Raw genomic sequence first — 13,391 nt, forward strand, 5'->3', positions numbered from 1 at the left:
CACCTGAGGTCAGGAGTTCGAGACCAGCCTGGCCAACATGGTGAAACGCTGTCTCTACTAAAAATACAAAATTAGCTGGGTGTGGTGGTGGGCATCTGTAATCCCAGCCATTTGGGAGGCTGAGGCAGGAGAATCACTTGAACCTAGGAGGCATAAGTTGCAGTGAGCTGAGATCCTGCCATTGCACTCCAGCCTGGGCAAAAAGAGTGAAACATTTCAAAAAAAAAAAAAAAAGGGTGAGAGGGAGTTAAGCATGAATGCAGGAAAGCACACTTTGCCAAGCTAGAGATGAAATCGCACACCTCCCTGCCATTCCCTTCAGAAGCCTTCTCCTAGGAGGGGAGAGTCCATGACTTCAAGGCCCTTCCTCCGCAGAGAGCTGTGCAACAGCAGCACAGATCAGCATGGCTCCCCCAGGAAGCAGAATGCCTCGTTCCTGCTGTGACTGCAATGGCTCCCTCTTTCTCTCTCTTTCTGCCCTGTCCTTCCTTGTGGGGTGCCTTTCTTTGAGGGCAAAAGTGTCTTGGATATTTTCAAGCACCCGAAAGATGAACGACATCACAAGGGTGGGTCTGCCACATAGCTATTTAAGTGGTTAAAGATAGAAAATGATATTGGCTAAAAAAAACCCAGTCTCTGCATAGCTTAGTGACTGTGATGGTTAAAATTGAGTGTCAACTTGATTGGATTGAAGGATGCAAAGTATTGGTCTTGGGAGTGGCTATGAGGGTGTCTCCAAAGGAGATTAACATTTGAGTCAGTGGACTGGGAGAGGCAGACCCACTCTCAGTCTGGGTGGGTACCATTTAATCACCTGCCAGCACAGCTAGGATAAAGCAGGCAGAAGAATATGGAAGGACTTGACTTGCTGAGTCTTCTGGCCTCCATCTTTCTCCTGTGCTGGATGCTTCCCGGCTTCGAACATCAGACTCCAAGTTCATCAGCTTCTGGACTCTTGGACTTACACCAGTGGTTTGCCAGGGGCTCTCGGGCCTTCGGCCACAGACTGAAGGTTGCACTGTCAGCGTTCCTACTTCTGAGGTTTTGGGACTTGGACTGGCTTCCCTGCTCCTCATCTTGCAGATGGCTTATTGTGGGACTTCACCTTGTGATCGCATGAGTCAATTCTCCTAATAAACTCCCCTTCATATATACATCTATCCTATTAGTTCTGTCCCTCTAGAGAACCCTAATACAGTGACTATTTCATCACACCTTATTCTGAAGAGAGCCACATCCTTTGGTGTTGAGGGTAGGCTGAGTATTCCCTGTTCCATCATTTGTTCTATCTCACAGGATAGGATTGAACCCCTGACATATCTGAACGCCATGACAAACTGTGATATTATGCAGTCTCACAGCTCAGCAGGGAAATGGGCTGGCAACACTAGATGAGTCAAGGGATTAAAGCTTTCCAATTCCCATATTTTAGTTAAAAAAAAAACAGTAACTATATAAAAAATTAAAAAACAAAAACAAACTGAAAAGAAAATCTGACATATGGAAAAGTGTATCATAGGGATAGACCATGGGCAATTGCACATAGGTAGTTCATAGAGCTGGCTGATTATCACAATCATTCATTGTATTTTGAAGTCTTGCATCGCAATGAGTAGTTTTTTGTTTTTTTTTTTATTTAATTGGGCATGGCTTTCCTTGGTGAGTATGTTCGCATTGATTTTCTTTTTTTTTTTTTTGAGAGGGAGTCTCGCTCACCTGGGCTGGAGTACAGTGGCACTATCTCGGCTCACTGCAAACTCCACCTCCCAGGTTCACACCATTCTCCTGCCTCAGCCTCCCGAGTAGCTGGGACTACAGGCGCCCGCTATCATGCCTGGCTAATTTTTTGTATTTTTAGTAGAGACGGGGTTTCACCATGTTAGCCAGGATGGTCTTGATCTCCTGACCTCATGATCCGCCTGCCTTGGCCTCCCAAAGTGCTGGGATTACAGGCGTGAGCCACCACGCCTGGCCCACGTTGATTTTCTATGTGGTGTTGCTCTTTTTGAAATTCTTCCATTATTTGATATACATGGAAATGAGCATTCCCTATTCCGCCTAACATAATGCAACCATCTTGTGACTGTGATTTTCAGGGTTTTATCTAATTAATTAATTTTTTGGAGACAGGATCTTGCTCTGTTACCCAGGCAGGAGTGCAGTAGCGTGATTACAGTTCACTCCACTTCTACCTCCCAGCCTCAAGCCATCCTCCCTCCTTCACCCTCCAGAGTAGCTGGAACTGCAGGCACGTACCACCACACCTGGCTATTTTTGTATTTTTTTGTAGAGGTGGGGTTTATGTGGCCCAGGCTTGTCTCAAGCTCCTGGGCTCAAGCAATACTCCCACCTCAGCCTCCCAAAGTGCTGGGATTATAGGCATGAGCCATGGCGCCTGGACTTATTTTCAGGATTTTATATGTTAGAGAATTAATGTATACTTTAGGGATTTTGATCTTTTGGGATTTACACATTAAGCATTATGGCTTTTGGCATTGTGTCTTCCAGGATTATAATCCAAACCTGAAAAATACTTTGAAGTTTTACTTTCTCTGGGTCTTCCACCTACCTTCTGCCCAATGGTAGCCTTTACTCCCTGGTAACGCTCTAAAGTGTTGCTGAGTTTGAGCAAACGTGGTAGATAAAGTTGTACCAGAGCTTCTCTTGGTGCACATTTTCTGCCTATGTGAAATCACCCTCATAGAGTTAACAAGAATTGCATGCCAGGTTCTGGACAGAAATATAATACTTACAATTAAACATTCCTCAGACTGCACTCTGCCCCACTTTCTTGTAGCTGCTTAATAAACATAAATCTAGTGTGCATATCAGGCTTACAGCACACCTCAATTTGGACTAGCCACATCTCACTAGATACTGACCATTTGCGTTCTCACTGATACTAGATACTAAATTCTCATTGTTTCTATAGCTAGACTCTCTGACATTAGAATCCTAAGGATTTTGTTGCAGAATTGCTTAAGATGTTTTTCAGATCCTGAATTCCAGCAAAATGGGTGGTGCCAACCAGTTTGAAGAACCCCACAGAGGAACGGAATCAACATGAGAATACAGTTTCTTCATCTATCTTGTGACTTCATCCTACACTCTTCAACCTAACAACCATCTCTACACCTCAGCCCGCTACTTGTCCAAGCCTCTTAAAATCCCTATCCCTAGACTCCTCCGGGAGGCAGATTTGAGGTTTCCCCCCATCTCTTTCATTTGTCTGCCTTATGATTAAACCTCTTTCTCTGCTGCAACCTAGTGTCTTAGTGTATTTGCTTGCCATGGGAGGACTAAGCTCTGAGTTTTTTCATTTTGCCCAAATTCTTGTCTAAGAGGTCTGGGGAGTCATGCCCTACAAACCGTAAAATCTCTTCAGATGGGTTTTATTTAACCCTATATATTGTGATTTACTTTCCCATCTGACTCTGGAAAGAGTCTAGCACGTTTTAAAGATCTGAATAGGAAACATTTGTCATCTATTCTCTCTAAGGGCAGACACTATAAGACTTCAAAAGGACCTTGGTCTCCACAATCTTTTATCTTAACCTGAACATTTCCTTTCTAAGCAATTGTCAACCAGAAAATGTTTAAATTTACCTATAGCCTAGAAGCACTCCCTGCACCCCCCGCTTTGAGTTGTCCCACCTTTCTGGACCAAACCAATGTATTTTTAAGAAATACATTTAAGATGCAGTTGATTGATGTCTCATGCCTTTCTAAAATGTATAAAACCAACCTGTGCCCCGGCCACCTTGGGCACATGTTCTCAGGACCTCTTGAGGGCTGTGTCACAGGCCATAGTCACTCATATTTGGCTTAGAATAAATCTCTTCAAATATTTTACATAATTTGACTCTTTTCGTTGACACACATGTTGGGAAACAAACCTGGTACAGTTACGTAGGTGAGCTTATCACTCCCATGAATTTGATATCTTCTATATACCAACAACTCCTAGATCTACATATGCAGCACGAGACTTTCCTCTGAGCTCCAGACCCACGATATAGCTTTACAGTAGACATCTCCAACCACAAGGTTTATAGCAATGCCAAGTTCAACAAGCCCAATTGAGCTGGGGATGCTTCCCCAACAAACCTGTCCTCTTCCAGTGTTTTCTGCCTCAGTGATGTGAGCCCCAAATATCTGAGACAGGTCCTAGTCAATTTAGGAAGCCTATTTTGCCAGAGTTAAGGATGCGTACCCATGACACAACCTCAGGAGGTGCTAACGACATGTGCCCAAGGTGGTCGGGGCACAGCTTAGTTTTATACATTTTAGAGAGACATGAGACATCAATCAATATATGTAAGATGTACATTGGTTCTGTCTGGAAAGGCGGGACAACTGGAAGAGGAGAGGGGGCTTCTAGGTCATAGGTAGGTAAGAGACAAATTGTTGCATTCTTTTGAGCTTCTGATTAACCTTTCCAAAAGAGGCAATCAGATATGCATTTATCTCGGTGAGCAGAGGAATGACTTTGAGTTCTGTCTGTCCTTTGTCCACAGTGAAATTCCTTGTGAGGGAGGGAGGTGTGTAGCTTTTTTTTTTTTTAAATCTTAGTAGCTATGTTTTTTAGGAATAGATTTGGAGGCAGGTTTGCCCTAAGCAGTTCCCAGCTTGACTTTTCCCTTTGGCTTAGTGGTTTTGGGGTCCCAAGATTCATTTTCCTTTCACAGTGAACAGCCCCTTGTTGTCCCTAGTCATGCCTGACACCTGGGATCTCCTGCATCAGTACTCCAATTTCCATTTGATCACCAAGTATGGTTGATTCTAGCTTCTGCAGATCTTGAATGCATCCACGTTCCTCCACCGCCCTTGGCTGTGCTACTAGGACTACTCTTGTACCAGCCATGTCACTGGAGTGGATTTAGGCTCTCCTCATGCCTACTAAGTAACTATTAAAAATGCAAGTCTAATTGTCACTTCAGAGGCTTTCTACTTTTCTAAAACAAACTCCAAAGTCCTTAACAGCATGCATGGGACTGCATGAACTGACAACTTTCTTTCTCTCCCACCTCTGCTTGCCCCACTTTCTGCTGTCCAGACACTGCAGCCCCTTGTAAATTCTTCCATTGTGATGTGCTGCTTCCTGTCTCAGAGCCTTTGCATGGACTCATTTCTCTTCTTCAAATGCTCTTCCACTTCTAGGGAAACTTCCTTGACCCCTAAGAGTAGGTAAGGCCCACTGTTATGTGTCTCATGTTTATTCGCATAGGTATTAATAATTTTTTCTCTAGCGTCTTCAGTGGTCCATAAGGATCACAAGAACAAAGACTGCCCAGCCTTAGCCCTGTTGGGGCTCAGAACATGACACTCATAATTATGGCACTTGGCACACTGAGTACTTTAAACTGAGGGACGTTGGAGAGCCTCAGAAACAAGATCTCTCTGACCTCTTGAGGCAGGAGGATAGGGAATTAGGGTAGCCAAGGGTTGGGGCATAAGCAAAGGAATAGGAGTTTGCATAAGCAACAGAACAGCAGGTGCAGCCAGTTCTAGGCAAGACTGGGCAGCACACAGGCCACCTTTTCACTCCTGTAAAAACAAGACAAAAGTTTCCACTTCAGCCTCTGATTGATGTGGACCAACTCTCCACTTCAGCCTCTGATTGGTTGCAGGCCAATTGTTCTTAGGGTGTAACCAGCTGGAGGCCTCTGAAGCGCAGCTGAGGGTGTTACCGAATTCTTTTGGCTTTATAAAAAGCCCGGGGAGCATTGCAGTAGAGGAGGCTCTTGGGCCTCTTGCCTGAGCCTGCCCTTACTCTGTGAATTGTACTTTTGCTTTTTCAGTAAATCTATGCCTTTGTTACTCCATTCTTTTGTTGCCATTTGTCTTTCATTGCTTTGTTCTTTTGTTGCTTTGTTTGTGCATTTTGTTCAAGTCTTTGTTCAACAAGCCAAGAGCTTGGACAATTCATAGTCAAGACCTTCCATCCAGGAACACTCTTACCTCATGTCTTCCACCCCTCTTCTTCCCTAAAGCCAGCCATAGAAATCAGAATTCCTCCTCCCCAGAATGAGTCATAAACACTAGAACTCCTCTCCCGCAAAGCAAGCCATAACACCTAGGAAAGTTATTCTCTCCCTAGGGGTGCTGCCCTATTCTCGGGAGGAAGAAGTGATGCTCAGAGACGCCAAAAAAAGTCTGGGCAGATGGTTCTTGATAGGTTCCCCGCCTCAGTCTATCACCATTAGATCATAGTCTTTTTGTCCAATCACATTTCTACATGGCTGTCCATTCTTCATTGAACCTAAGCATAAAAATAGACAGTATTCCTGGGTCTCTGAGTCTTCATATCTGAAGGCTTCTATGTCATGTAAATCTGTGGTTAAATAGTTAAGCTTTTCTCTTGTTAACCTGTCTTTTGTTATAGGAGTGTTGGCTGTGACTCTTATAATAGGTGAGGAAAGGTATTAAACACAGCTGACACTCCTATAACAAAAGGCAGGTTAAAGGCACGGTCCTCCAGAATGTTACATCTACCCAAGACTTCTGACACCAGCTACAAGTTCAGGGATGCCCAGGGCCACCCTCACTTCGGATTGGCCAGCCACAAATTTGGGGGTCCCCATGGACTCCCTCAGATTTGATAATGTGCTAGAATGAGTCACAGAACTCAGCAAAGCGTTATATGTAGGATGACAGTTTTATTACAGCAAAGGATACAGTTCAGAACCAGCCCAAGGAAAAGATCATAAGGTAAAATCTGGGACTGGGAAGGTCCCAAACACAACGCTTCCATGCCCTCGGGATGCGTTACTCTCCTGATGTTGATGTGTGGCTATATACAGAATGTCACCAATCTAAGAAACTCACCTGGGCTTTGGTATCTAAAGATTTTCTCCAGGCTCCATGACATAGGCATGACTGATTGTATCATGGCCTACATGGTTAAACCCAATCTCTAGCCCCCTCCCCTTCTTGGATATCAGTCTAGCATCATATGGCTCAAAGTCCCGACCCCCTAACCACATGGTTGGTCTTTCTGGTGTGGTCAGTGCTCACCTTGAGCCTATCGGTGTGGCCTGGGCCTCACACTGAGTCATCTCTTAGTGTGATGTACCAAGGGTCTTCCTTGAATCACCTGATTAACACAAACTATCAGGTGTGGCTTAAGAGGCCGATCATGAGTAACAAAGACACTCCCGTTACTCTAGAAATTCCAAGGGTTTAAAGGTTAACTCCGGAGAGCAGGGACAAAGACAAGACTTCTCTTTGAGTAAAGTTAATTCATCACTATGCAGTGTCTTAGAACTGGCAATGCCTAGGACAGACAGACTTCATTCTTCTCTAACTATACATATAAAGCCAAAGGGCAAGAAAAAGCAGGTTCATTCTTAGGAAGATTTCAGATTTCGAATGCCATTGGCATACTTTATTTTGTCTTTGGTTACTTAACTCTCATGGTATAATTCCCTACTAAAAAATGTAAAAGGCAGAGAGACAGGGAAGATTTAATATCACTAGATACATACGACTGAGAAGTAACACCCCAAACTGCTGTAGCAGAGGTTAGTGAAACCAAAGATTACAATAATTTTACTTTACCTTTCCTCAATGATTTACAGTTTACAAAGTGCTTCATACATCCTATCCCTTGAAATGTTAAAGTCATAGTGCAAAAAGGGTATAAATAAAGAATGCAAAAATTGAGCGGCAATTAACAGAGCAAAAAGGTTGCTCAAATTATTTAAGAACTACATTGTGCTAGAATGCATTTTTCTAGCACAGCAAAAAGAATCATTTACATAACAATGAATATGCTAATTAAGATTCATCTAGAAAATCTGCTGTGCGACAATGCTTTGTTAATACATTTCAAGGTATTTTACAAATTTGAAAGTTTAAAATCTGATAGCAGGTTTTGCAAGTTTTTTCTTTAAAATCAAACTGTGATACAAAAAATTAAGTGAAGCAGACCATAAAATTTTCTTCTCAGAAGGAAGCTATTTTGTATTTAAGCAGAATATTTGCCCTTTTCCCTCCTACATGAGTGGAGATTCCACTATGTCCTTTTTTGAGACTGTATAAAAACTCTCTATATATGTCTATATATTTTATATTTGTTCCTCTGCTTCTAAAGTGCTTTTTTTTCCTTGTGACTGCTTTACAATTTTTCTCTTTATCACAGGGTTTTGATACTTAATTTTTTTTAAATTTTTAATATATATTTTTTATTTTAATAGCTTTTGGGGTGCAGGTGGTTCCTGGTTACATGGATGAATTGCATGGTGGTGAAGTCTGAGATTGTACTGCACCCAGGTAGTGTACATTGTTCTCAGTATGTACTTTTTGATCCCTCGTCCCTCTCCCCCATTCTGTCTCCAATATTCATTAAATTATTATCACTCTGCATAACTTCGCATATCCACAGGTTAGCTCCCACTTATAACCGAGAATAAGTGGTACTTGGTTTTCCATTTCTGAGTTACTTCACTTGGAATAATTGCCTCCAACTCCATCTAACTTGCTGCAAAAGACATTATTTTATTCATTTTTATGGCTGAATAGTGTTTCATGGTGTTGTAGCAGGATGAGTCACAGACAAGAACCCCTCGCACACCGTGTTGTGGAAGGAAAGGGCTTTATTCAGATGGCAGCATCGGCGGACTCACATCTCCAAAAACCCAGCTCCCCGAGGGAGCAATTCCTGTCCCTTTTAAGGGCTTGCAACTCTAAGGGGGTCCACGTGAGAGGGTCGTGATTGATTGAGCAAGCAGAGGGTACGTGACTGGGGGCTGCAAGCACCAGTAATCAGAACAGAACAGGACAGGACAGGGATTTTCACGGTGCTTTTCCATACAATGTCTGGAATCTATAGATAACACAACAGGTTAGGTCAGGGGTCGATCTTTAACTACCAGGCCCAGGGAGTGGCACCGGGCTGTCTGCCTGTGGATTTCCTTTCTGCCCTTTAGTTTTTACTTCTTCTTTCTTTGGAGGCAGAAATTGGGTATAAGACAATATGAGGGGTGGTCTCCTCCCTTAGTGTAATTATACCACATTTTCTTTATTCAGTCATCATTTAATGGGTACTTAGATTGGTTCCATATCTTTGAAATTGTGAATTGTGCTATAATAAACATATGCACGCAGGTGTCTTTTTGGTATGATGACTTCTATTCCTTTGGGTAGCTATCTAGTAGTGGATTGCTGGATTGAATGGTATTTCTACTTTCAGTTCTTCAAGAAATTGTCACACTATTTTCCACAGAGGTTGTACTAATTGAGCAGCCCACCAGCAGTGTAAAAGTGTTTCTTTTTCAGCATATCCACGCGGACATCTATTGTTTTTTGAATTTTTAATAATGGCCATTCTGGCTGAGGAACAATGGTATCTCATTATGGTTTTAATGTGCATTTCCCTGATGATTAGCAATGTTGATTACTTTTTCATATGTTTCTTGGCCATTTGCATATCCTTTTTTGAGAAATGCCTATTCATGTCATTTTCCCACTTTTTGATGCGATTATTTTTCTCTTGCTGATTTGTTTGGGCTCCTTGCAAATTCAGGATATTAGTCCATTGTCAGACGCATAGTTTGCAAATATTTTCTCCCATTGTGTGGGTTGTCTGTTTACTCTGTTGATTATTTCTTTTGCTGTGCAGAGGCTTTTTAGCTTAATTAGGTCTCATTTATTTGTTTTTGTTGCATTTGCTTCTGGGGCTATAGTAATCAATTCTTTGCCAAACCAATGTCCAGGAGTGTTTTTCCTAGGTTTTCTTCTAGAATGTTTATGGCTTCTGGTCTTAGATTTAGGTTTTTGATCCATCTTGCTTTGATTTTTGTATATGTGAGAGAGAGAGACAGAGAGATCCAGTTTCACTCTTCTTCATGTGGCTATCCAGTTTTCCCAGAACCATTTATTGAATAAAGTGTCCTTCCCCCAATTTATGTTTTGTCAAAGATCAGTTGGTTGTAAATATTTGGTTGTGTTTCTGGGTTCTCTATTCTGTTTCATTGATCTATGTATCTACCTTTATACTAGTACCGTGCTGTTTTGGTTACTATAACCTTGTAGTATAATTTGAAGTCAGATAATGTGATGCCTCCAGATTTGTTCTTTTTGCTTTAGGATTGCTTTTGCTATTCAAGCTTTTTTTGTAGGGCCCATAAGAATTTTAGGATTGCTTTTCTAATTCTGTGAAAAATGATATTGATATTTTGATAGAAATTGTATTGAATCTATAGATTGCTTTGGGTAGTATGGTCATTTTCATGTTATTAATTCTTTCAATCCATGAGTATGGCATCTGTTTCCTTTGTTTGTGTCATCTATGATATCTTTCAACAGTGTTTTGTAGTTCTACTTGTAGAGATCTTTCACCTCCTTGTTAAGTATAGTCCTAGGTAATTTTTTGCAGCTATTGTAAAAGGAATTGAGTTCTTAATTTGATTCCTAGCTTTGTCATTGTTGCTGTAAGGCAGTGCCAGTGATTTGTTTACATAGATTTTGTAACCTGAGACTTCACTGAATTCACTTATCAAATCTAGGAGTCTTTCAGTGGAGTCTTTAGGGTTTTCTGGGTATATGATGATATTATTGGCAAACAGGGATAGTTTGACTTCCTCTTTTCCAACATGGATGCCCTTTATATGTTTCTCTTCTCTGATTGCATTGGGTAGGACTGCCAGTGCTATGTTGAATAGAAGTGGTGAAACTGAACATCCTTGTCTTATTCCAGTTCTCAGGGGGAATGCTTTCAACTTTTTCCCATTCAATATGATGTTAACTGAGAGTTTGTCATACATGGTTCTTATAATTTTGAGGTATGTTCTTTCCATGCCTAGTTTGTTAAGGGTTTCTAATCATAAAGGGAGGCTGGACTTTATTGAATGCTTTTTCTGCATCTGTTAAGATGATCATATAATTCTTAATTCTCTTTATGTGACGTATCACATTTATTGACTTGCGTATGTTGAACCATTCCTATATCCCTGGGATGAAACCCACTTGATCATGGTGAATAATCTTTTTGTTGTGCTGTTGGATTCAGTTTGTTAGTATTTTGTTATGAATTTTTCCGTTTATGTTAATCACGGATATTGGTCTGTAGTTTTCTTTTTTTGTTATGCCCTTTCCTGGTTTTGGTATCAGGGTGATAATGGCTTCATAGAAAAAGTTAGGAAGGATTTTCTCTTTCTCAATTCCTTTGGAATAATTTCAGTAGGATTGATACCGATTCTTTAATGTCTGGAAGAATTTGGCTGTGAATACATGGGGCACTGGCCTTTTTTTTGTTGGCGTTTTTTTGTTTTTTTGCTGATTCAATCTCATTATTTGTTATTGGTCTGTTCAGGACTTCTATTTCTTCCTGATTCAAGCTAGGATGATTGTATGTTTCCAGGAATGTATTCATTTCCTCTAGATTGTCTAGTTTATGTGCATAGAGGTGTTCATAGTAGTGTAAACTTAACTTTTGCATATCTGCGATGTCAGTTGTAATGCCTCCATTTTCATTTCTAACTGAGCTAATTTGAATCTTCTCTCTTCTTTTCTTAGTTAATCTAGTTAATGGTCTACTGACTTTATCTTTTTATATAAACGACTTTTTATTTCATTGATCTTTTGTATTTTTGTTTCAATTTCATTTAGTTCTCCTCTGACCTTATTTTTTTTCTTCTTATAGCTTTGGGTTTGTTCTTGTTTCTCTGTTTACTTGAGATGTAATGTTAGGTTGTCAATTTGTGATTTTTCAGACTTTTTAATGTAGGTATTTAGTGCTGTTAGCTTTCCTCACAGCACTGCTTTATGCTGTATCTCAGAAGTTTTGATAACTTGTGTCACCATTATCATTCATTTTGAATAACTTTAAAATTTCCATCTTGATTTCATTGTTAACCCAAAAGTCATCTGGGAGCAGATTGACTAATTTCCATGTATTTGCATAATTTTGAGTTTTCCTTTTGGAGTTTGATTTCTGGTTTTTTACTACTGTGGTCTGAGAAGGCACTTGATATGATTTTGATTTTTAAAAATTTATTGAGACAAGCCATGATTAAGATGGCTGAATAGGAACAGCTCTGGTCTGCAGCTCCCAACAAGATCAACACAGAAGATGGGTGATTTCTGCACTTCCGATTGAGGTACCTGGTTCATCTCACTGGGACTGGCTGGACAGTTGGTGCAGCCCACAGAGGGTGAGCCAAAGCAGGGCAGGGTGTCACCTTACCCCGGAAGTGCAAGGGGTCAGGGGATTTCTTTCCTAGCCAAGGGAAGCCGTGACAGACTGTACCTGGGAAAACAGTACACCTCTGCCCAAATACTGTGCTTTCCTCATGGTCTTAGCAACCAGAAGACCAGGAGATACCCTCCCATGCCTGGCTTGGCAGGTCCCATGCCCAGGGGGCCTTGCTCACTGCTAGCACAGCAGTCTGAGATCAACCTGTGAGGCTGCAGCCTGGTGAGGGGAGGGGCGTCCAACATTGCTGAGACTTGAGTAGGTAAACAAAGCAGCTGGGAAGCTCAAACTGGGTGGAGCCCACCACAGCTCAGCAAGGCCTACTGCCTCTATAGACCTCACCTCCGTGGCCAAGGCATAGCTGAACAAAAGGCAGCAGACAACTTCCGCAGACTTAAACATCCCTGTCTGACAGCTCTGAAGACAGCAGTAGTTCTCCCAGCATAGTATTTGAGCTCTGAGAACAGACAGACTGCCTCCTCAAGTGGGTCCCTGACCTCTGTGTAGTTTGGCTGGGAGACACCTCCCAGTAGGGGTCGACAGACACCTCATAAAGGTGGGTGCCCGTCTGGGACGAAGCTTCCAGAGGAAGTATCAGGCAGCAATATTTGCCGTTCTGCAATATTTGCTCTTCTGCAGCCTCCGCTGGTGATACCCAGGCAAAAAGGGTCTGGAGAGGACCTCAAGCAAACTCTAACAGACATGCAGCTGAGGGGCCCAACTGTTAGAAGGAAAACTAACAAACAGAAAGGAATACCATCAACATCAACATAAAGGACATCCACACCAAAACCCCATCTGTAGGTCACCAACTTCAAAGACCAAAGGTAGATAAAACCAGAAAGATCAGGAGAAACCAGAGCAGAAAAGCTGAAAATTCCAGAAACCAGAGTGCCTCTTCTCCTCCAAAGGATTGCAGCTGCTTGCCAGCAACAGAACAAAATTGGATGGAGAATGACTTTGACAAGTTGACAGAAGTAGGCTTCAGAAGGTCATTAATAACAAACTTCTCTGAGCTAAAGGAGCATGTTCTAACCCATTGAAAGGAAGCTAAAAACCTTGAAAAAAGGTTAGATGAATGGCTAACTAGAATAAATAGTGTAGACAAGACCTTAAATGACCGGATGTAGCTGAAAACCATGGCACGACAACTTTGTGACGCATGCACAAGCTTCAATAGTCAATTCAATTAAGT

General features: G+C 41.7%; 1 annotated feature.

Moving 5' to 3' along the window:
- Positions 6,697-7,307: an enhancer, noted in NCBI's record as "H3K4me1 hESC enhancer chr10:23164275-23164885 (GRCh37/hg19 assembly coordinates)". NCBI's record gives its function as "activates a minimal SCP1, AML or CMV promoter by ChIP-STARR-seq in naive H9 embryonic stem cells {active_cell/tissue: H9 hESC(naive)}" and the evidence as "EXISTENCE:reporter gene assay evidence [ECO:0000049][PMID:30033119]".

This window comes from Homo sapiens, chromosome 10 (assembly GCF_000001405.40).
Source record: "Homo sapiens chromosome 10, GRCh38.p14 Primary Assembly".
Taxonomy (NCBI): Eukaryota; Metazoa; Chordata; class Mammalia; order Primates; family Hominidae; genus Homo; species Homo sapiens.